The sequence below is a fragment of the Homo sapiens genome, chromosome 16 (genome assembly GCF_000001405.40).
Source record: "Homo sapiens chromosome 16, GRCh38.p14 Primary Assembly".
Classification (NCBI taxonomy): domain Eukaryota; kingdom Metazoa; phylum Chordata; class Mammalia; order Primates; family Hominidae; genus Homo; species Homo sapiens.
The window spans coordinates 81,078,410-81,102,759 of NC_000016.10; the positions used below are offsets into that span (position 1 = coordinate 81,078,410).

General features: G+C 45.1%; 1 protein-coding gene and 1 pseudogene across 6 annotated transcripts in view, besides 2 other annotated features; both read right to left on the minus strand.

Moving 5' to 3' along the window:
• GCSH (glycine cleavage system protein H) lies at nucleotides 3,536-17,986 on the minus strand. 5 transcript variants are annotated; one of them, NM_004483.5, is made up of 5 exons: nucleotides 17,722-17,986; nucleotides 12,192-12,271; nucleotides 9,192-9,255; nucleotides 6,054-6,185; nucleotides 3,536-4,554 (listed from the first exon to the last, which is right to left on the minus strand). In NM_004483.5, the coding sequence occupies exons 1-5, from the start codon at nucleotides 17,867-17,869 to the stop codon at nucleotides 4,457-4,459; spliced, it is 522 nt and encodes a 173-aa protein (NP_004474.2). In that variant the 5' UTR covers nucleotides 17,870-17,986; the 3' UTR covers nucleotides 3,536-4,456. The 5 variants fall into 5 exon arrangements, 4 of the variants coding, with proteins under 4 accessions (NP_004474.2, XP_047289856.1, XP_016878625.1 ...); XM_047433900.1 differs by lacking the exon at nucleotides 17,722-17,986 and adding an exon at nucleotides 12,588-15,180; XM_017023136.3 differs by having other exon boundaries at nucleotides 3,706-4,572.
• Nucleotides 17,403-18,072: a silencer, noted in NCBI's record as "silent region_7751". NCBI's record gives its function as "represses an Ori minimal core promoter by ATAC-STARR-seq in GM12878 lymphoblastoid cells {active_cell/tissue: GM12878}" and the evidence as "EXISTENCE:reporter gene assay evidence [ECO:0000049][PMID:35858748]".
• Nucleotides 18,223-18,322: a silencer, noted in NCBI's record as "silent region_7752". NCBI's record gives its function as "represses an Ori minimal core promoter by ATAC-STARR-seq in GM12878 lymphoblastoid cells {active_cell/tissue: GM12878}" and the evidence as "EXISTENCE:reporter gene assay evidence [ECO:0000049][PMID:35858748]".
• The window catches only part of PKD1L2 (polycystin 1 like 2 (gene/pseudogene)), a 119,520-nt pseudogene continuing 117,635 nt past the window's right edge, over nucleotides 22,466-24,350 (minus strand). Inside the window, exon 43 of the transcript NR_126532.3 lies at nucleotides 22,466-22,875. The product of NR_126532.3 is annotated as a polycystin 1 like 2 (gene/pseudogene), transcript variant 1, non-coding (transcript). The remainder of the gene's footprint in view (nucleotides 22,876-24,350) is intronic.

Below are 24,350 nucleotides of genomic sequence, written 5' to 3' on the forward strand. Positions count from 1 at the left end.
TTGAAGGTTGCAGTAAGCTATGATTGTGTCACTGCACTCCAGCCTGGGAAACAGTGCAAGACCTTGCATATTAGAAAAAAGTTTCTGGGAAGTATACCAAAAGTCTTAACTAAGATTTGCTAAATGAATATTAATTAAATAACCTAACGGCAAGTACATGGGGAAGTTGGAGGATCTAGAACCTGACTTCCTTCACACTAACTATTCCTGCATTTAGCAGGTAAAAGCCCGATAGCATGATTGAGTGGAAACATGAAGGGACAAGGGTTTGGCTAGTTATGTTTATAAAAAGTCAACATAGGAATTGAGTCAAGATACCAGAAACTCTACTTATAGTAAGATCCCACTTTGCAAAAACGGAGAATGGAAGCGTACAGAACTGTACCTTCTCCTCAATTTTGCTGTGACTGTAAACTTCCTCTAACACATAAAATGTATTTTAAAGAAAAAAAGCCAGGAGTGGTGGCTTGCGTCTGTAATACCAGTTACTCACAGGAGAGGCTAAGGCAGGAGAATCACTTGAGACCAGCTTGGGAAGTGTCACAAGACCCCATATCTATTTTTTAAAATTAAAGGGAGATGGGTGGGTGCGGTGGCTCACACCTGTAATCCCAGCACTTTGGGAGGCTGAGGCGGGTCAATCACTTGAGGTCAGAAGTTCAAGACCAGCCCAGCCAACATGGCGAAACCCCATTTCAAAACCCTAATACAAAAATTAGCCGGGTGTGGTGATGGACGCCTGTAATCCCAGCTACTCAGGAGGCTGAGGTGGGAGAATCACCTGAACCCGTGAGGTGGAGGTTGCAGTGAGCCAAGATCGCACCATTGCACTCCAGCCTGGGCGGCAGGAAAGGCCTGTTGCAGGGAAGAAAGAGGAATTTAATCCTGGTGTAAAGAAAGGCACCTCTTTAAGTATGGGAAGGAAGGTGTGATTTGGTCTGAAAGAACACAGTAAAAAAGACACGCTTGTAGTTAGCATAATTTTTTAAACTGTGCTCTTTTTAGTAGCCCCAGAAAAACTATAGAAATTGGAAAAATTCAGCAGCTGGGCGCGGTGGCTCACGCCTGTAATCCCAGCACTTTGGGAGGCCGAGGCGGATGGATCACGAGGTCAGGAGATCGAGACCATCCTGGCTAACTCAGTGAAAGGCCGTCTCTACTAAAAATGCAAAAAATTAGCCGGGCGAGGTGGCAGGCGCCTGTAGTCCCAGCTACTCGGGAGGCTGAGGCAGGAGAATGGCGTGAACCCGGGAGGCGGAGCTTGCAGTGAGCCGAGATCGCGCCACTGCACTCCAGCCTGGGCGACAGAGCCAGACTCCATCTCAAAAAAAAAAAAAAAAAAAAAAAAAGAAAAAGAAAAGAAATTGAAAAAATTCAGAAATTCTGATTTGCTGAGGAACTGATCTGAATGGCCAGCCTCATTTTCATAGTAGTATGCCCATGCAGAGCTCCCTAGTGGTTTATTAAAACCTAAAACTGGCCAGGCGCGGTGGCTCACACCTGTAATCCCAGCACTTTGGGAGGCCGAGGCGGGTGGATCATCTGAGGTCAGGAGTTTGAGACCAGCCTGGCCAACATGTCGAAACCCCATCTTTACTAAAAATACAAAAATTAGCTGGGCATGGTCGTGGTCCGGGTGCCTGTATTCCCAGCTACCCTGGAGGCTGAGGCAGGAGAATTGCCTGAATCCGGGAGGTGGAGGGCCTGGGCAAAAGAGCGAGACTCCGTCTCAAACAAAACAAAAAACAAAACAAAACCTAAAGCTAACGACAAAACTACCTGGGAGGTGATAGCAGAAAAAAAATTTAACACTTGCAGGGTAACCTATTCAGTTTCTCAAGTTTTAGTTACTAGAAAGCTTTCTTCAAAACTTCTATTAATCTGCTCTACTAATGCCAAAACCATTCAAAAGGAATATGAGGTCATGAAAATTAAATTCCCTGGATTCAGTCAATTTGGAGGGCCATTCAAAGCCTGTATTTTTGGCAGCACTGTGACATCAATGACAGTGGATTTGGCTCTGTGTTCTAAATAGTGGAAGAGCAAGTTGCCAAATGTTCTGCTCTTTGAAAAAAGAGGGGTTGTTACAGAGCAAGTTATGTGTGTCTTTGGCAGGAAAAGGGAAAAATAAAAAACTGCCCACCTTCTTCAGAGACTATAACCACTCACGGACTTTCATACTCTAGAATGGCCACTTTTGCTTCCCACCTTTATTTAGAACATTCAACCTCCCCCTCTTCCCTGAGATTCCCATTAAAAATTTTTTTTTTTTTTTTTGAGACGGAGTCTCGCTCTGTTGCCCAGGCTGGAGTGCATGGCATCATCTTGGCTCACTGCAGGCTCCGCATGTGGGGTTCATGCCATTCTTCTGCCTCAGCCTCCCAAGTACCTGGGACTACAGGCGCCCGCCACCATGCCCGGCTAATTTTTTTGTATTTTGAGTAGAGACGGGGTTTCACCGTGTTAGCCAGGATGGTCTCGATCTCCTGACCTCGTGATCCGCCTGCCTCGGCCTCCCAAAGTGCTGGGATTACAAGCGTGAGCCACCGCGCCTGTCCCATTTAAATATTTTTATAGTAAAATTTGCTAAGGGACTGATTAAGAGTAGACCAGGAAATATGAAAATCATTACCACGACCACCCAACTATTTAACAAATTTCTTATCCTATCACCTTTCATACCTGTGAAATGATGGTAGTAATCGATGTGTCTAGAGAACTTTCAAAACTAAAGGGTAAATCTATGTAATTATTACTCATCCCCATCTATTTTCAAAGCAGACAGATCAATTAACATGATTGACAATTACGCAATATAGACAATCATCCAGGATACCTTGGATACTTTTTTTTTTTTGAGATGCGTTCTCACTGTCACTCAGGCTGGAGTACAGTGGTGTGATCTTGGCTCACTGCAGCCTTGACCTCCCAGACACAAAGTGATTCTACCTGACTCCCAAATAGCTGGGACCAGAGGCACATGCCACCATGCCAGGCTAATTTTTATATTTTTGTAGAGACGGGGTTTCACCATGTTGCCCAGGCTGGTCTCAAACTCCTGGGCTCAAGAGATCCACCCACCTTAGCCTCCCAAAGTGGTAGGATTACAGGCGTGAGCCACCACACCTGGCCAATACTTAAGATTTAAGGGTACAAAGATATAGTTCAGCAGTGATATGGCTACTGGCAGAGGCTTGGAATGAAGTTTCTTCAGCTGAGGAGCAGGAAAGATTTGTATGTTATTTACCTACCTACTTTTGCTAAGTCCTTATTTTTGCTGTTTATTCACCACCAGAAGGTGGTACTATATGAATACTTCTCTTTTCCTCTAGTAACTGAGAAAATGATACAGGAGTTTATCTCCTCTTGCTCTGTGTGTATGTATATATATATTTGCATGTGCATATAGACCCCCCACCCCAATATTATCAGCATATTACAGTTGGTTAGCGTATGCTGTGTATTAGCTACTTGGAAATAACTTTTGGCACTCTAAATATGCTTAAGCTGCAAAGAATACTATCAGAGTCCATTATCTGAGCTCATAAAGCTTCAGTCCTTGTCCACTTTTATTCCCATGACTTAAGTGGAAACCTGAACGTGGTTTAACAACTTAAAAACACCATGTGCTATACTGATCAAAACTTCCACCTTCCTCTGTCTTTCCTCTTCTTTCTTCAGACCTCGCATGATAGAAAATCAAAGTTGGTGATTTATTTTTTATTATGTTAAAGGTGACAGATCTTGGCTTAAGAAAAACCAGATTTGTGACTAAAGAAAACATTTTCTTGGAGCTTTGCATTGTTCTGGCTTAAATTTCCTTTTAAAAAGTAACTTTCCGTAAGTTAAAGTTAGCACTTTCACAAATACTAGCAGAGTTACTAAATGAAATATTAACATCAAAACAAACATGATTAACGAAGAAGTATTTTATTATTTTGCTGCAAAGCTGTTGCTTCACTGTATAAAAATAGCACCAGCAAATGCAGTGTATCGCAAAATTAAGATAGTGGTGTTCCTCATCTGACACTGTACAAGCAACAAAACCTCTTCACTTCCAGTTATTTCCAATGGAAAGATCATTAAGTATTTCATCCCAAATCCAGGTATGGATACATGCAAGTTACAATATTATATAAGGCTTAAGAATAACAATGTTATCTTTGAATTATGTAATTTTTATAACTAGTTTTTACCATGGATAATTTCATGAATTCTGAACACTAGAGCCTAGTCTAAAAATCATAGGATATTGTGAAAAAGACGCATATTATATTTATCTATAATCATTAGAAAGTTAAAGGGCATTTTCTTTCATTAGCAGTGTTAACAGTAGTTTTTTTTTCCCCATCGGTAATACTAAAAGTTTCTATTCTAAGTCTTCTATCCACCACTAATTTAAGACAACTCTGCTGGCTTGCGTTATTTCATACTAGTTTATTTAGGAGTTCCATTTTCACTCCTCAATAGATTTTATGTATTTCTCATATGCTTCTTCACTCATAAGTTCATCTAGTTCTGAAGGGTTACTCAGTGTCATCTTGATCAGCCAACCTGCAACCAAAAGACAACCTTATATTCCACATTAACTTTTTAAAAAGTCAAATTCATCCAAAACGTAAAATAAATTTCTGAGCGCCTCAATCTTGTATTCTTTACAAAAACCATACATTATTTGTTCATAGAACTTTAAATTTTAGCCTTAAGAATTAAAATACTTGTATATAACAAATGAAAATAATTATGGCTAGAATAGATTCCACCATAATAAATTAAGAACTCTTAGGTTGTAATAAGCATCAGAAAATGACATTTAAATCTTTAAGGGCCGGGCACGGTGGCTCATGCCTGTAATCCCAGTACTTTGGGAAGCGAAGGCAAGCAAATCACTTGAGGCTAGGAGCTCTAGACCAGCCTGGCCAACATAGTGGAACCCCATCTCTACCAAAACCACAAAAATTAGCTGGGCGTGGTGGCAGTTGCCCTTGATCCCAGCTACTGGGAAGCTGAGGCAGAAGAAGTGCTTGAACCCGAGAAGGGGAGGTTGCAGTGCACCGAGATCACGCCACTGCACTCCAGCCTGGGCGACAGAGGGAGACTCTGTCTCAAAAAAATAATAAAAATAAGTCCTTAAATATATGATCCAAATACACAAGACCAGGTATGTCTTTAACAAATGGAACACTAACTACTGAGGTTAACGGGATTAGAAAGCAGTAGTAATTAGAAGGGCTAGGTGACAGACAAAAGAGAACTACAACCTAATCCTAGCTTTGCCATTTATCAGCCATGAGACCCTGACAGATAAATCCTTTGGAGCCTCTATTCATCTACAAAATAGAGAAAATTGCTGTTAGCTTACCTGATTAGATTATAAGGGTGAAAATGTGAGAAAACCAAAAATTAATGCAAAATATATATTTTTTTACCTCCCATGTCACACAATATGAGTGGCTGCTTTATGTCTGAAAAAGTAAATACTTTGCAGATGTTTACACCAAAACCAAAGAATCTACAACTGATATCAAGAAACTGCAAAATAAGGTAATGCTTTTATCATCAGAGATTTTTTTTTCTTTTTTTGAGAAGGTCTCGCTCTGTCACTCAGGCTGGAGTGGAGTGGTGCGATCTTGGCTCACTATAGACTGCAGCCTTGACCTCCCAGGTTCAAGCAATTCTCCCACCTCAGCCTCCCTAGTAACTGAGACTACAGGCACATTCCACCACAGCCAGCTAATTTTTGTATTTCTATAGAGACAGAGTTTCACCATGTTGCCCAGGCTGGTCTCCAACTCCTGGACTAAAGCAATCCACCCACCTTGGCCTCCCAAAGTGCTGGGATCACAGGCGCGAGCCACTGCGCCTAGCCAGAAATCTTAAACATAACTTTAAGTATTCAACTAACCTCTGTTTTTCTTTTAAAGCAGAACATCTCTATTTAGTACCAAGAAGTAGAAAAAGATGAAGTCACAATCAGCTAAACTTGCTTTAAATTCTAGATAAAATATTTACTGTAGTAGTAATTCCTTGAGAAATTTCTAGCAACAGCTTACCATCTTCATAACAAGATTTGTTTACAAGTCCTGGATTTTCTGCAAGAGCTTCATTAATTTCAGTTACTTCTCCTGATAAAGGAGAATAGAGTTCACTAGCAGCTTTCACACTTTCCAAAGCACCAAACTCATCTAAGTGGAAAAAAAATTAAAGAAAACATGAAATGTTAAAAGTCAGTTACTTGAAAACATAAAATACGAAAAAGTAGATTCCTGTCATACAGCTATGATTTTAAAATTCCAAATTTCTTTTTTTTTTTTTTTTGAGATGGAGTCTCGCTCTGTTGCCCAGGCTGGAGTGCAGTGGCGCAATCTCACGTCACTGCAAGCTCCACCTCCCAAGGGTTCATGCCATTCTCCTGCCTCAGCCTCCCGAGTAGCTGGGACTACAGGCGCCCACCTGCCACCACGCCCGTCTAATTTTTTGTATTTGTAGTAGAGACGGGGTTTCACTGTGTTAGCTAGGATGGTCTCAATCTCCTGATGCCGTGATCCGCCCGCCTCGGCCTCCCAAAGTGCTGGGATTATAGGCATAAGCCACTGCACCTGGCTCTTTTTTTTTTTTTTTTTTGAGACGGAGTCTCGCTCTGTCACCAGGCTACAGTACAATGGTGTGTTCTAGGCTCACTGCCACCTCTGCCTCCCGGGTTCAAGCCATTCTCCTGCCTCAGCCTCCCAAGTAGCTAGGATTACAGGCGCGCACCACCACGCCCAGCTAATTTTTGTATTTTTAGTAGAGACAGCGTTTCACTGTGTTGGCCAAGCTGGTCTTGAACTCCTGACCTCGTGATCAACCCGCCTCAGCCTCCCAAAGTGCTGGGATTATAACCGTGAGCCACCGTGCCTGGCCTACATTTCTTTAATTAAAAATAAAACCATAAGTTTTGTCAGGCTATAATAACCACGAGAAGGGTATATATTGTCTCAATAAAGTGGACCTATCTGTGTGTCCTGGACACAGTAAATAACAAATGGTGATGTGCCTGAATGCCAGATGTGTGTAGGTTCAGTAAAACTCCATGTTCTTGCAACTTAGCTGTGGCTCAGAAAAAAACAAAATGAAAACTTTAGAATGTTCCAGTGACAGTGAAGTACCCTGTATCAGATAACAATTATAAGCTCTGGGCCAGGCGTGGTGGCTCATGCCTGTAATTCCAGCACTTTGGAAGACCAAGGCAGGAAGATCACCTGAGGTCAGTAGTTTGAAACCAGCCTAGCCAACATGGTCTCTACTAAAATACAAAAAAATTAGCCGGGCGTGGTGGTGGGCGCCTATAATCCCAGCTACTTGGGAGACTGAGGCAGGAGAATCACTTGAACCCGGGAGGTGGAGGTTGCAGTGAGCCGAGACCATGCCATTGCAGTCCAGCCTTGGTGACAGTGTGAGACTCCGTCTCAAAAACAAAAAAAACGGCCGGGCGCGGTGGCTCACGCCTGTAATCCCAGCACTTTGGGAGGCCGAGGCGGGTGGATCATGAGGTCAGGAGATCGAGACCATCCTGGCTAACAAGGTGAAACCCCGTCTCTACTAAAAATACAAAAAATTAGCCGGGCGCGGTGGCGGGCGCCTGTAGTCCCAGCTACTCGGGAGGCTGAGGCAGGAGAATGGCGTGAACCCGGGAAGCGGAGCTTGCAGTGAGCCGAGATTGCGCCACTGCAGTCCGCAGTCCGGCCTGGGCGACAGAGCGAGACTCCGTCTCAAAAAAAAAAAAAAAAAAAAAAAAAAAAAAAAAAAAAAAAAAAAAAAAAAAAAAACAAAAAAAACACAATTATGAACTCTGAACTACTGGCCAGGAACGGCGGCTCATGCTTGTAATCCCAACACTTTGGGAAGCCAAGGCGGGTAGATCACTTGAGGTCACGAGTTCAAGACCAGCCTGGCCAACATGGTGAAACCCCGCCTCTACCAAAACCTCGAAATAAATAAATTAATTAATTTAAAAAATTAGCCTGGTGTGGTTGTGCATGCCTGTACTCCCAGCTACTTGGGTGGCTGAAAAAGGAGAATTGCTTGAACCTAGGAGGCGGAGGTTGCAGTGAGCCAATGTCGCACCATCGCATTCCAGCCTGGGCAACAGAGCAAGACTCCGTCTCAAAAAAATAAGAAGAAAAAAAAAAGAACAGTTTAAAAAAGGCTGAAAAGTTAACAGTCTTAGGGACCCTATAGGACAATATCAAGTGATATGACGAACATGTCTCAAATCAGAGAAGGAAAAAGGAATGAAGTGGGAAGAGAAAGAAATCATGACTAAAATAAGAAGTCTCCAAATTTAATCGAAAAAAAATTCAATCTACAGATTCAAGAAGCTTGGTAAATCCCAAAAGCAGCCAAACGTAACACACACTGTGTGATTCCTTTCATATAAAGAATAGGCAAAATAAACCTATGGTGTAGAAACGAGAGAAGAGGTCATCTATTTGACTAGGAAGGTTTATTTAAGTGTATACATTTGTTAAAACTCACTGAATTGTACACTTCTGGTCCATGCATTTCACTGTATGTAGATTTTACATCAAGTTAAAAAACTACCTTTAGCAGAATGTCTTAAAAGGGTATTCATTAGTTTAAGGATATTATCTAACATATCGATATTAATAGACTTTTTTTCTCTCTTTTTTTTAAAACGGAGTCTTGCTCTGTTGCCCAGGCTGGAGTACAGTGATGGGATCTCGGCTCACTGCAACCTCCGCCTCCCAAGTTCCAGCAATTCTCCTGTCTCAGCCTCTGAGTAGCAATTACTTTTACACCAACCTAATACTTGGGTCAAAAGCACTCTAATTGGCTGGGCACGGTGGCTCACACTTGTAATCTCAGCATTTTGGGAGGCCAAGGCGGGCGGATCACTCGAGGTCAGGAGTTCGAGACCAGCCTTGCCAACATGGGGAAACTCTGTCTCTACAATACAAAAATTAGCTGGGCGTGGTGGCACGTGCCTGAGACACAAGAATCGCTTTAACCCAGGAGGCAGAGGTTACAGTGGGCCGAGATGGTGCCACTGCACTCCAGCCTGGGTGACAAAGCAAGACTGTCTCCAAAAAAAAAAAAGCACTCTAATTAATCCAGGGTACAAACAAATTACTATTCAATGTAAACAAAATTCATGGCATGGATCATTCTAAGATCCTAAGAACACTCACCTTGTTTGTTCAATTTTGTCCCAACTTCAGGGAGACTACAATAAACAACATCTCCCAACGCTTCCTAAATAAAACAAGACAAAACCAAAAATCTCTAAGAAGTTATAACTAAACCCTCCAGTAAACAGAATAAGCCAAACACTGAATCCCCTATAATGAAGATTTAGTATATATTTTATACTGGAGGGGCTACATTCTTGAGTTTTCCTTAAAATCCTTTAAACATGTAAAAACTACTCTCAGTCAGGTGTGGTAGTTCACGCCTGTAATCCCAGCACTTTGAAAGGCCCAAAGTGGGTGTTATCACATGAGGTCAGAAGTTCGAGACCAGCCTGGTTGACATGGTGAAACCCAGTCTCTAATAAAAATACAAAAATTAGCTGGGTGTGGTGGCAGGCACTTGCAATCCCAGCTACTCAGGAGGCTGAGGCAGGAGAATCACTTAAATCTGGGAGGCAGAGGTTGCAGTGAGTTGAGATTGCACCTGTATACTCCAGCCTTGGCGACAGAGCAAGACTCCATGTCAAGAATAAAAATAAATGGCTGGGTGCGGTGGCTCATGCCTGTAATCCCAGCTCTTAGGGAGGCAGAGGTGGGAGGATAGCTTGAGCCCAGGAGTTTGAGACCTGCCTTGGCAATATAGCAAGACCCTGTTCTCCAAAACTAAGTAAAATAAAATGATTTTAAAAAACTATTCTCAACTCAGGAGCTGCAAGAGACCAGCCGCCAGCCAGATCTGGCTCACAGGCTTTAGCAACCTAACACAAGCCTCCTGCCCCACACAAGACTGCTAGCTCTTTGTTTTATTTGGTTTTGAGACAGAGTTTCTCTCTTGTTGCCCAGGCTGGAGTGCAGTGGCCTGATCTCAGCTCACTGCAACCTCTGCCTCCCAGGTTCAAGCGATTCTCCTGCCTCAGCCTCCCAAGTAGCTGGGATTACAGGTGCCCACCACCATGCCTGGTTAATTTTTTAAAATTTTTTGCTAGAGATGCAGTTTCACCATGTTGGCCAGCTGGTCTTGAACTTTTGACCTCAGATAATCAACTTGCCTCGGCCTTCCAAAGTGCTAGGATTACAGGTGTGAGCCACTGCGCCCGGCAAACACTGCTAGCTCTTCTGGGCATGAACATATTTGGTGTTCTTCCACCTCTGTAGTTTTATGTACACCATTGCCCCCAAAGCATTTGCTGAAATCCTGCTCACTGATTCTACAAATCATAGTCCTCACACCTTGTACTCCCTGAAGTCCCTGACTCCAGAAAGAAGTGGTCTCTCCATCAGGTAAGTGAATTACAACCCCACCGTTCCGATGCCATCATGTAATGTTTGCAAGTCATTCTCATGTAGGTAATTCCCCTCACAAATAAACTCTAGGAGGTAAGGACGACATCTTACACAACATCTCAAAAACTATCCAACACTGGGCCTCATAGTAGGTATACAGAGATGCCAAGGAAGATATAATTGTGATTATCAACACACAAGCATCTTACATGTCTGAGGAATTTTGTACAGTCACGTGCCGCCTAATGGCATTTTGGTCAACAACAGACCACATATATGACAGTGGTCCCATGAAATTATAATATAGTTAGTATCACTTGTCCAAAATGCTTGGGAGCAGAAGTGTTTTGGATTTCAGATTTTGGAATACTCGCATTATACTTAATACATGAGCACTCCTCATCCAAGATTCTGGAATCCAAAACGCTCCAATGAGCATTTTCTTTAAGAGTCACGTTGGTGCTCAAAAAGTTTCAGATTTTTGGAGTATTTCAGGGATTAGAGATGCTCAACCTATGCCATATTTTTACTGTACCTTTTCTGTGTTTTGATAGGCCAAGTGTGTTACGATTGCCTACAGTATTCAGTACAGTAACATGCTGTACAGGTTTGTAGCCCAGGAGCAAAGGCTGTACCATACAGCCAAGGTGTGTAATAGGCTGTACCATCTAGGTGTGTGTAAGGGCACCCTAGGAGGCTCACAGAAGGACGCAATCCCCGAGGAGGCAGTTATCAGAACATAGCTCCATCATTAAGTGACACGAGTGCATTCCCATCAGTTAACATCCCCCCTTCCCCGCCTCACCCAATACATACATCCAGTTGAAAATCACTGAACACGCTAGGATTTGGCTTCTCATTTTCTCTTAAACAGTATCGCCATATGGAATTGAGGGGAATTTACAGAGAAAAGATGGGCTGAATAAAAGCCTTCCCTTTGTGTCATCTGTGCCTATTGAGGTTTTCTTTCTTCCCGTCCTCCTGGTCACGTGTGTATCACTGGACCCACAAAATGGTGGCAACACCCTGCTCTTCTTTTTCCTCTTTCCTTAATTGCCCAGTACAAAACACACACATTTCCTTCTTGAATAGGACATGTTTCCTACTTTCAGTGTTAAGCTTGCAACATCTCTTAAAACACCACATAATGCCCTAACTAAATTATGTTTTACTTAATTCAACTCTGGTTGGTTTTCTTACTTTCTTTCTTTCTTTTTTTTTTTGGAGATGGAGTCTCACTCTGTCACCCAGGCTAGAGTGTAGTGGTGCAATCTCGGCTTACTGCAACTTCTGCCTCCCAGGTTCAAGTGATTCTTCTGTCTCAGCCTCCTGACGAGCTGGGATTACAGGTGTGCACCACCAAGACCAGCTAATTTTTGTATTTTGCAGTGACATGATCATGGTTCACTGCAGCCTCAACCTCCTGGGCTCCAGCGACCCTCCTGCCTTAGCCTCCTGAGTAGCTGGGACCACAGGCATGAGCAACCATGCCAGGCTAATTTTTTTTTTTAACTTTTGGTAGAGACGGGGTCTCACTTTGTTGACCAGGCTGGTCTTGAACTCCTGGCCTCAAGCAATCCTCCTGCCTCAGCCTCCCAAAGTGTTGGGATTACAGGCATGAGCCACCTCACGCAGCCTAAACACTTTTAAAAAGGTAGAGATAAAGCAAATCATGCAAGAGCACACTGGGACAAATATTTCAATATAATCCAATACCTGTGCAAAATTGCTGATTCCCACTGTTCCAATGCCATTTTCTGTTGTTACCCATTCGTGTTTCTCTGTGAATTTACGCACTAAAACAGAAGACCAACATTTCAGAAAAGCAGTAGCATTACTTCTTAAGAAGCACTTTTCATTACCATTGCTTTCAAAAGACTTTCCCAGAATTTCTGTTTGACCTGTTGACACTACCTTTAAATAGTGCATGGCTCAGGAAAGAATGAAGATCATGTATAGAGATGACGCATTTAAACAGCAGTACCATTTAAGCAAAGATGGCTTCATCTGAACACCTTGTGCATCTTTTGGAGATTGGATTATCTGCTTTAACATTACTTAGCCTAAATCACAAAAGAAAATTTTGGAGCATATTTCAAATGTATACTTAACTATTACTGGTCTGTCTTGCAGAAAAAAAAATCTGTGCCTCTGAAGACAAATTTGGGGTGATGAGGTTTAGGGAGGCAGCATAAAGATGGCTCATATAAGAAATGATTTAACCTAAAAAAAAAAATAACAGTAATAATCAGGTGCCTCTTTAGGCAGAGTTGACCTAAGAGAGCTTCAGTGCAGCTTGGGTTACAAAGTAAAATTTTACAGGAATGAAACTGACCTCCTGGAACAACTATAATTTGACTAAGTTCTTAAAATTCTACTTTAATCAAATTCAAGCCTAACCTTGAAGATAGCACTACCATCGCTTAAAGAAGAAAATTAAGATCACAACTCAACAGTCTTCTCAGAGCTAAGCCATGGGTTGGTGGAGAATCAAGCTCTGCTCACCACTCACTGGACAGGTTCAGCCCTCGACTTACTGAGCACTTCTCTAAAGATACGGTCAAACGATTCAGGGAATCCTGAAAGAAGGACCGGCCAATGTTCAAGAGTAAAAAGAGTTATTTAGGATATAAAGTTAAAAGTACTTGCCTTAGAGAATAATATTTTTTAAAAAGCATATGCTATATTAAATACAGTTCATATTCTGACACCAAGTATTTTTCTAAAAACAATGCAACGTAAGTTCATAGAAAAATGGTTAACTCAAATACTGTTTTAAAGAGGCCTCACTGGCTCATTTTACCCCTTACCCAAAGGATAGTAGTACTTAAAACAGCATTCAATTGCTTTGGTTACAGCTCTGATACGCAGCACAACGTAAGTAGAGTGTATAATTATTATTTTTATTTTTTATTTTTGTAGAGATGGGGGGGTCTATGTTGTCCAGACTGGTCTCAAATTCCTGAGCTCATGATCCTCCCACCTCAACCTCTCACAGTGCTGGGATAATAGTGTGTGAGCCACCGTGCCTAGCCAAGTATATAATTCAATATTGCTTTCTTTTCCCCTTAATTATGAAACTTTCTAAAGTTCATACCCCTTCAGTGGAAGAAGTCAAAAAATGTGTCACTAAGAAATTTATTTTGCTTCATTCCACTTCAAAGAACTGAATGTTTCAGGTCACTCTGACGTTCAGGTAAGAAAGTTTAAGATGTGTACACTGTGTTTTGACTGAAAGACTCTCCCTACCATCTTTACTAACTACTTCCGGTCTAGATTCAGAAGTCCGTTCCTGCCCAAAGGCTTGTCTAACCAAGTCTAGGTTCTTAGGCCAGCCAACATGCTCTTACGGCACCCTGTACCACTATCCCCCAGCACACACACGGTGCTGAACATACTAGAGATCATCTGTCAGTCTCCCCAGGAAGTAGGCTGTGTACCCACCAAGAAACAGCAAGGTTTATCTTATTTTCATTTGTTTTCCCAATTTTAAATACAGTGCTTGCCACATAGCAAGCACTCAAAAGCTGAAGGAATGAAATAATTTTTTTTTTCCTTAAATTATCATGTCGCAGGCCAGGCACAGTGACTCATGCGTGTAATCCCAGCACTTTGGGAGGCCGAGGCGGGTGGATCACCTGAGGTCCGGGGTTTGAGACCAGCCTGGCCAGCATAGTGAAACCACATCTCTACTAAAAAAATACAAAAATTAGCCAGGTGTGGTGGCACACTCCTGTAATGCCAGCGACTTGGGAAGCTGAGGCATGAGAATTGCTTGAACCCAGGAGGCAGAGGTTGCAGTGAGCTGAGATCACGCCACTGCACTCCAGCCTAAGCAACAGAGCAAGACTCAGTCTCAAAAAAAACAAACAAAAAAAATCCCTGGGCGTGGTGGCTCATGCCTGTAATCTCAACACTTTGGGAGAAAAATATATATATTTTTCCCCTTAAATTATCATGTTGCAGGCCGGGCACAGTGGCTCATGCCTGCAATCCCAGCACTTTGGGAGGCCAAGGCAGGCGGATCACCTGACGTAAGGAGGTCAAGACCAGCCTGGCCAGCATGGTGAAACCAAGTCCCTACTAAAAATACAAAAATTAGCCAGGTGTAGTGGTACACGCCTATAATCCTAGCTACTTGGGAGGCTGAGGCAGGAGAATCACTTGAACCTGGGAGGCGGAGATTCCAGTGAGCCGAGATTGCACCATTGCCTGGGCGACTAGCGAAACTTCATCTCCAAAAAAAAAAAAAAAAAGTTGCAGAATGACGTGATTTTTTAAAGTTTATTAAGAGGATTCTGAGGAAAATAGATAGTATATAGTTATTTGTCTTTAACACTTAATTCTCTCACTCTGCTACAAATCGCCGGTTATATGCCAATTATGAGCAGTTTGAAGCTAAAACACCTTTTCAAAGTAAGCACTGGACAACTATAAACACCACCTGAGACTACCTTCTTTGACCTTGCCATCTTGCCTACCTGTGAAGATAATTTTAGGAGTAAGGCTGCTGTGACCCTCATTTTAGCAACCGAGCAATTACTAATTGTAATTAGTACAATTCTCCTTAACAAGGAGCAGTTAGTGTCTCAAACATTTGGGTGTAAAGAAAATTGTTGGCCCCAAGTTTAGAGGGAGACGGCAACATTACAGGTAATGTTACCCCTCAGTCCTGGCCAACAGCAGTGGCTCTCGCCTGTAATCCCAGCACTTTGGGAGGCCGAGGCAGGCAGATCACCTGAGATCAGGAGTTCAAGACCACCCTGGCCAACATGGTGAAACCCCGTCTCTACTAAAATACAAAAAATTGGCCGGGTATGGTGGCGGGCACCTATAATCCCAGCTACCCTGGAGGCTGAGGCAGGAGAATCACTTGAACCTGGGAGGCAGAGGTTGCAGTGATTCAAAGACCTAAGTCTTTATTTTACTAAGCATGCTGTTTAGGCTAAAGGCAATGATTAGTACAATTCTCCTTTAACCCTTGGCCCGACAGGAAGAAGTGGATAGATTAGGTAAATAATTACTTTCTTTTTTTGAGACAGAGTCTCACTCTGTCGCCCAAGCTGGAGTGTAGTGGTGCAATCTAGGCTCGCTGCAACCTCTGCCTCCCGGGTTCAAGTGATTCGGCCTCATCCTCCCAAGGAGCTGGGATTACAAGCACGTGCCACCACGCCCGACTAATTTTTTGTATTTTTGGTAGAGACAGGGTTTCACCATGTTGGCCAGGCTGGTCTTGAACTCCTGACCTCAGGTGATCCGCCCGCCTCAGCCTCCCAAAGTGCTGGGATTAAAGGCATGAGCCACCGTGCCTGGACAATAATTACTTTCTAACTGGGCCTTGAAAAAGGTGGTTTTTGGCCTCGGAAAATTAGGAGTTGTGAGCAATTTATGAAAATTTTGCATTTTCCTTTTTCAATGTCACTAGTCAGATAAAATATTTTATATTAGTATTAGTCAATTTTTCTTCTCTTTTTTTTTTGAGATGGAGGTGTGCTCTTGTCGTCCAGCTACTCCACAGGCTGAGGCAGGAGAAGTGTTTGAACCCGGGAAGCGAAGGTTGCAGTGAGCCAAGATCCTGCCACTGGATGCCAGCCTGGGCGACAGAGCGAGACTCCATCTCAAAAAAGAAGAAAAAAAAAAGGAACGAAAACCACAGACTTGAAACTAAATTCTTATCTGAGAAATGCTTTACCTTTGTATTCAAATTAGTGATGTAGGGATCCCTATCAGAAACAGAGCGGACAGACTATTAGCAAGACAGCATAAGTAAATCTTTATGCTACAAATTTTGGAATAAATTTATCAACCATTCCAGCTCCAAACAGGTTTCTAAAACAATGAGCTAATGAGACAAGAGCCATCACTGATCTACGCAATCGAAGCAGAGGAGCAGTCAGTGTATCAAACATTTGGGCGTAAAGAAAATTGTTGGCCTGGCGCGGTGACGCACGACTGTAATCTCAGCACTTTGGGAGGCTGAGGCGGGTGGATCACTTGAGGTCAGGAGTTTGAGACCAGCCTAACGTGGCGAAACCCTGTCTCTACTAAAAATACAAAACTCAGCTGGAGGTGGTGACGGGCGCCAGTGAACCCAGCTACTCGGGAGGCTGAGGCAAGAGAATCGCTTGAATCTGGGAGGTGGCGCTTGCAGTGAGCCGAGATCACGCCGCTGCACTCCAGCCTGGGCGACAGAGCGAGGCTCCGTCTCAATAAAAAGAAAAAAAAAAAAAAAGAAAATTGTTTTTCCCCTGCAATAATTGTGCTGAAGTAGCACAAATGGCCGAAACATTCATGGGCAGGTTTCCCAGTTATTTCAAGTCCGTTTGAGTTAGGGCTCATTTCAGCAAGCACACACATGAATGATCCAATACAAACTTTAGCAGAACTTCTGTTGAGTCCAGAAGACTTTATCTTACTTGTTTTGGGGAAATAGCTGAATCTTCAAAGTTATGATTGTTTTATCTAGTAAAAAAATCTAGATCTGGCGCTTTAATTTTTTTTTTTTTTTTTTTTTTTGAGGTGGAGTTTTGCTCTGTCGCCCAGGCTGGAGTGCAGTGGCGCGATCTCGGCTCACTGCAACCTCTGCCTCCCAGGTTCAAGCGATTCTCCTGCCTCAGCCTCCCGAGTAGCTGGGATTACATGCGCATGCCGCCACGCCTGGCTAATTTTTTGTACTTTTAGTAGAGATGGGATTTCACCGTGTTAGCCAGGATAGTCTCGATCTCCTGACCTCGTGATCCGCCCTCCGGCATGAGCCAACGCGCCCTGCCTGGTGCTTTAATTTTAATAAGCGCTTCTGTTTTAATTTTACTTCGGAGTTCTCAGTAACGGTCCATTTAGTAAACTAAAGGCCTCCCCATTTGGGGTCTCAACGATGCACGCAGATGGGAGATAAACTTAAGGCCACCGAGACGCTTAAGCGACACGTGCCTGGCTTCTGCAGCAAGCGGCCGACCTGCCCGCCGGACCCGCCGGGCCACCCCCGCCTCGGTGTCCCGCAGGCCTCCCCTCCCGGCTGCATGCAATCCCTAGGGCAAAGGCTACTCGCGGGTCCTCCCGCTACTTAAGGGGGAGAAGCGGCCGCAGAGCCAGGGATCCCAACAGAAATAAGAAGGGGGCAGGGTCCGCGCTCGCTCCGCCCCGGTGGCTCAGGAGCGGTGCCCCGGCGTCCTCCGTGTCCCGCTGGGCCCGGGACAAGCAGCCCAGGCGGGGAGGGAGCAGCCGCCCACGTGCCCGCCGCGCTTACCCGAGAGCAGAGCGGGTCCAGTGCGCAGCGTACGGACGGCGCCCACCCCCAGCTGCCAGGGCCTCGGCGGGCAGGGCGCGGCGGGTGACGGGACCGCGCGCAGGGTGCAGAGCAGGGCCCGCACGCTCCGCACCACTCGCAGCGCCATGTTCGCAGGGGTGCGGGGGTCGCAGCGCTACGCCTCGGCCACCCGCGCCGGGAGGCGGGGCGGGGAGGGGCAGTTCGCGGCCGGAGGGAGCCGGCTGGATGGAGGCGCGGAGGCGGTGCCGCGGGGGCGGGACAGAGCCTGACTGGGCAGAGCGTGGAGGGCGGAGACTCCCAGGCGAGGGGGCGAGGCAGGGTCTGATTGGCCAGCACGCGGAGACTGGGGACTCCAGGGCCTGGCGCGACCTCGGATACGGCGACGCGAAAGAGGGGCGTGGGCATGGGGAAGAACCTGAGGCCCGGAAGAGGCAGCACCGAGAGGCGGAGACTAGCGCGGCGGGCCTGGGTATGATTGGGCTGCCCGCAGGAGGGGGGCGGGGCCTAGCCCCAGACTGGGTTCCTTTCCACATGTGTATCTCTTTTACTGCCTCTGTCATAAGTTTTCAAAGGTGGTTTCACCACCTCACGAAGGAATTCAAGAACAAGTCGGAAAGTCGTGAAAGTACAGAGGTTTACTGCAAAGTACACACTGAAGAAAGGGCGGACTCAAAAGAGGGCCACACAATGGGGCTTGGGGTTTCCATCTTTATGGGTTTCTTTGAGAAATGGAATATACACAAAGGTTTCTGGAATAAGGTGGAGACTTGTCAGAACTGTGGTGCCACCCATTTTTACACCAAATATGGGTGTTCCCGGAATTGTTGTGGTGCCGGTGGGTGTGTGACTTAGTATGTTAATGAGTCCTAGGTGAAGCCTAGGTCAAAGCCACACCACGTTGGGTCCAGTTGGTTTTAGCCAGGTTGACCCACACCCTGGTTTTTCAGGGTCTTAGCCCATAGCTTGTGCAGCTATTTCAACAGTTTCCTTTTGTTAGACAGAACTGCAGCCTGGAAGTTTCTATTCTCCTTCAACTGCTCTGTAACGTTCCTGTCTCAAAGAGCCCCAGGGACCCCAAACAGGACCGGCAGAATCCAGAAGCTTACTTAAAAAGGAATAAAGACTTGTCCAAGGGTCATAAGTGGCTTCTTGGTGGAGACTGGACCCAAGCCAGTCACTAATGCAGAAATATTCAAAACGCAGAGAGCTGAGACCCAGTGTGCACAATTCCTTGTTTCATCGGCCAGCGGTGTGACCAAGGCCTTCCGAGAAAAGCCGAAGTCATCATCCCAATCCAAGAAGTCAGAAAAAAATTAGGTTCTGGGAAAAACCTCACCTTTAACACAGATTTTATGGAGTGGCCATGAGTCAGCAAAGAAATACTGTTCTGAAAAACACCTTAAGCTACACACACACCTTTAGTACTGTTACAGAAAGGGCTCCCAATCCAGACCCCAAGAGAGGGTTTTTGGACCTCATGCAAGAAAGAATTTGGGGAGAGTCTATAAAGTGAAAGCACGTTTAATAGAGAAGTAAAGAAAAAAAAGAATGGCTTCTTCGTAGACAGAGCAGCAGTATGGCTTCTCGACTAAGTGTACTTATAGTTATTTCTTGATTGTATGCTAAACAAGGGGTGGATCATTCAAGAGTTCTCCAGAAAAGGGGCAGGGATTTCCTAGAACTAACGGTTCCTCCGCTTTTTGGACTATAGGGTAACTTCTCTGGACGTTGCCATTGCATTTGTGAACTGTCATGACGCTGGTGGGAGTTGTTTTTTTTTTAACATGCTAATGCATTATAATTAGCGTATAATGAGCAGTGAGACCTACCAGAGGTCGCCATCTTGGTTTTGGTGAGTTTTGGCCAGCTCCTTTACCGCATCCTATTTTATCAGCAGGGACTTTGTGACCTGTATCTTGTGCCAACCCTAGCTCATCCTGTGACTAAGTGAGGCAGGTGAATCACTTGAGGTCAGGAGTTCGAGACCAACCTGGCCAACATGGAGAAACCCCCGTCTCTACTACAAATCCAAAGTTTAGCCAGGCATGGTGGCAGGTGCCTGTAATCCCAGCTACTCAGGAGGCTGAGGCACGAGAATCACTTGAGCCTGGGAGGCAGAGGTTGCAGTGAGTCGAGATCACGCCACTGCACTCCAGCCTGGGTGACAGAGCGAGACTCTGCTTCAGAAAAAAATACAAATAAAAAGAATGCCTAACCTCCTGGGAATGCAGCCCACCAAGTCTCAGCCTCATTTTACCCAGCCCATATTCAAAATGGAGTTGTTCTTGTTCAAACACCGGAAACAGTACCATAGGGTGCACACCATGGAGTGTGTGTGTGTTTGGGGAGCCCATACGTTGTTGCACTGAGCTTCTGCCCTGCTATGAACTTAGGGTTGCCACCACATCTGTGCAGTGGCTTGCAAGGGCCGTCATGCCCACTTTCTTTTGAGCAAATCATTCCCATCTATTGAGCCTTTGCTATGTGCCTGGCACTATGCACACATCTTTTTAATCCTCTCCAAACCTCTTTCTGGCAGGTGTTACACTCATTTCATAGATGAGGCTCAGAGGTGAAGGCACTTCCGAGGAGTGGGATCGGGGAGGCGTTTTTGTGGCTTAAGTAGCTCCTAGGTGGCAGTAGTAGACCTTGGCCTCTACACTGATTAGAAAGCAACTCTTCTTTTTTTCTTTTTTTTTTTCGAGACGAAGTCTAGCTCTGTCGCCCAAGCTGGAGCGCAGTGGCGTGATCTTGGCTCACTGCAACCTCTGCCTCCCGGGTTCAAGCAATTCTCCTGCTTCAGCCTCCCGAGTGGCTGGGACTACAGGACCACGTGCCACCACGCCCGTCTAATTTTTGTATGTTTAGTAGAGATGGGGTTTCACTATGTTGGCCAAGCTGGTCTCGAACTCCTGACCTTGTAATCCACCCACCTCGGCCTTCCAAAGTGCTGGGATTACAGGCATGAACCACCGTGCCTGGCCAGCAATTGCTCTTAAGCTCTGCTCCGCTTGCTTTCGTTTGGGATGCTGACTGGATCACGCTGGTCTACCCTGCACTACAGATCTTGGCTACCTTCTCTAATGTCAAGATGTTGTTTTCTATTGTTGTTTCATTACAAGACAGTGCAGCATCGTGCCACTTACACCCTAACATATTTATTCTCAGCTTCACTAACTCATGTGATGGGAAGAAAAAGATCACACATCAACATCAACATATGGGCTACAAAAAGGCCCTTCCACCAAAAAATATGACATGTGTTTTTCTTTTGGTAAAAAGCATTGAAGACAGTCAAAATTTTTTTTCTTTTTCTACCTAGTAATCTTTGTAACCTCCTGGTTTGAGATTTTAAAGGTCATCTCGTTGCCCATTGAGTATAAGCTCTGGAAAATTCCAGGTGGTCATTTCTTCCAGGTGTTTTGAGAGGGGCCCATTCATCTCTTTGAGCTGATAGACATATTTTCCTCTTATAACAATACAGTAGACTGGGTGCGGTGGCTCATGCCTGTAATCCCAGCACTGTGGGAGGCCTAGGTAGGCAGATCACTTGAGGCCAGGAGTTCAAGACCAGCCTGGCCAACATGGTGAAACCCCGTCTCTACAAAAAAATACAAAAATTACCCAGGCATGCTCTTGTGTGCCTGTAGTCCCAGATACTGGGAAGCCTGAGACACAAGAATCATTTGATCTTGGGAGGCAGAGGTTTCAGTGAGCTGAAATCATGCCACTGCATTCCAGCCTGGGCAACAGAGCAAGACCCTGTCTCAAACAAACAAACAAACAAACAAAAAAACTTTTATAAACCAGTATTCCCCATATTTATTTGACCCAGAAACATTTTTGGAGGAATGACACCTGTTCTGGTTTGAATTGTGGCTCCTAAAGAGGTATGTCAAAGTCCTAAGTCCCAGTTCTTCAGATGTGACCATATTGGGAAACAGGATCCCTGCAGATGTATTATAATTAGTTCAGATGAGGTCACCCTGGACTAGGGTGGGCCCCTAATTCAATATGGCTGGTGTGCTGAGAAAAGGAGAAGGAACACAGGCTCCCAGCAAGCTTCTTCCCATCTGGGAGTGACACATCTAGAAGCCAAGGGACACCAAGGCTGGCTGGCCAACACCAAAAGCTGGAAGAGGCAAGAAGGATTCTTCCCTAGAGCCCTCAGAGGGAGCATGGCACTGCCAACATCTTTTTTCTTTCTTTTCTTTTTTTTTTTTGTGAGACGGAGTCATGCTCTGTCGCCCGGGCTGGAGTACAGTGGCACCACCTAGGCTCACTGCAACCTCCGCCTCCCGGGTTCAAGGGATTCTCCTGCCTCAGCCTCCTGAGTAGCTGGGACTACAGGCGCCCGCCACCACACCTGGTTAATTTTTGTATTTTTAGTAGAGACAGGGTTTCACCCTGTTGGCCAGGCTGGTCTCGAACTCCTGGCCTCAAGTGATCCGCACGCCTCGGCCTCCCAAAGTGCTGGGATTACAGGCGTGAGCCACCATGCCCGGCCACTGCCAACATCTTGATTGCACACTTCCAGGCTCCAGAGCTGGGACAGAATGCATTTCTGTCGTTTTAAGCCACTTCGTTTGTGATACATTGTTCTGGGAAACTAATACAGCATCCATTAGCATCTCTCAGACAGTTTGAGAAGCCCTGAACTAGAATCATTCAAAAGCAACCCCCAACGGACTAAAAAGACGAAATAATTAGTCTGTGCAGGAAATTTTCCAAACTCCATGTAATATTTGTTTTATTTATAATAAGAGGAAATACATTTGAACAAAGAAGCTCTCATAGTATTGGCAATTTTACATATATCTCTGTTATTGTAATTTTTTTTACTTGCTGGGCTTGGTAATTCTTCAATGGACATGAAAGCTATGACCTAGAGAGACTATAGAGTCGCTGGTAAGCGTACGCCCGAGGCCCTGGGCGTCCCCACTGGTAGATGGTGGCGTGTGGACGAACAGCTTAGTCCTTGGGCAAAGCTTGTGCTGGTCGAGAGTGGCGAGTCTGGGACAGAGACCCAGGCTGCTCCCTGCTGCTTCCAGGCTCCTCTCTCTTAGACTTAATGCCCAGGAAACTGAGTATTTTCATCAGCAGCAAATCTACGATCTCCCCTTCCTCCGACAGCTGCAAGAGAAAGAACCAGGCAATGCCCATAGAACCATCTTCTTTGGGGGCTTTTCTTTCTAAGGGGAAGTCATAGTTTTTATTTTTATTTATTTTATTTTATTTTATTGTTTGAGATGGAGTCTCACTGTGTCGCCCAGGCTGGAGTGCAGTCGCACAATCTTGGCTCACTGCAACTTCCGCCTCCCGAGTTCAAGCGATTCTCCCGCCTCAGCCTCCCGAGTAGTTGGGATTACAGGCACCCGCCACCACGCTCAGCTAATTTTTGTATTTTTAGTAGAGAGAGAGTTTTACCATGTTGGCCAGGCAGGTATCAAACTCCTGGCATCTAGTGATCCACCTGCCTCGGCCTCCCAAAGTGCTGGGATGATTACAGGCTTGAGCCATCGCATCATCCCTGGCCGAAATCACAGTTTTATTGTCCAGTTTGGTCTCAACCTAGGTTACTTCACTGTTGAGAGCTGTTTTAGGGCAGAAAGGCCTCCCTCTGGGAATGCCAAGGGTGTGTGCTCCATCCTTTATCCTCAGCGGGCTCCCTCCACCTCTCTGATGAGGATGACTGAGTTTTCACTGCCACATTTCAAATTCCCAAGCCAGCGCAGAGTAAGCCTCGGCTGGGCGGCTGAGCCTGAAGTTAAACAGCACATGGGCCCCCTTCTGAGATGAGTGTCTCCCCTTTTCCTCTAGGTCAGAGTGTTGGTGGTGGCTCCTTCTTTCGTTCTTTTTTTTTCTGAGACAGAGTCTAGCTCTGTCGCCGAGGCTGGAGTGCAGTGGCTCAATCTCGGCTCACTGCAGCCTCCGCCTCCTGGATTCCAGCTATTCTCCTGCCTCAGCCTCCCGAGTAGCTGGGATTATAGGCACACACCACCACGCCCAGCTAATTTTTGTATCTTTGGTAGAGACAGGGTTTCACCATGTTGGCGGGGCTGGTCTCGAACTCCTGACCTCAGGTGATTCACCCACCTCAGCCTCCCAAAGTGCTAGGATTAGAGGCGTGAGCCTCTGGGCCTGGCCTTGTGGTTCTTTATTATTATTCCTTCTGCTTGCTCTGTTTACCTCCTGGCCTAGCCTGGTATGGGAGGAAGTTCTGGGAATGAAAAAATAAATAGATGTTTCTCTCTGGCTTTCCCACACTTCTCAACCATATACACATATTTAAGAGTGACTTAAAGCAAAGAAAGAACAACTTCTAGGAAACAGGAATGGCAGACTATAGGTACCAATGAGGCACGTTCAGTAAACTCGTCAGAAAATGCTCTCTACCACCCCAACAGAGGCTGTTAAGAACTTATGTACAGGCTGAGCACAGGGGCTTATTATATTTATAATCCCAGGATTTTGGGAGGCCAAGGTGAGACGATTGCTTGATCCTAGGAGTTCGAGTCCATCCTGGACAACATAGTGAGACCCCATCTCTACAGATAATTTTAAAAATCACAGCTGAAAGTGGTGGCTCACACCTGTAATCCCAGCAC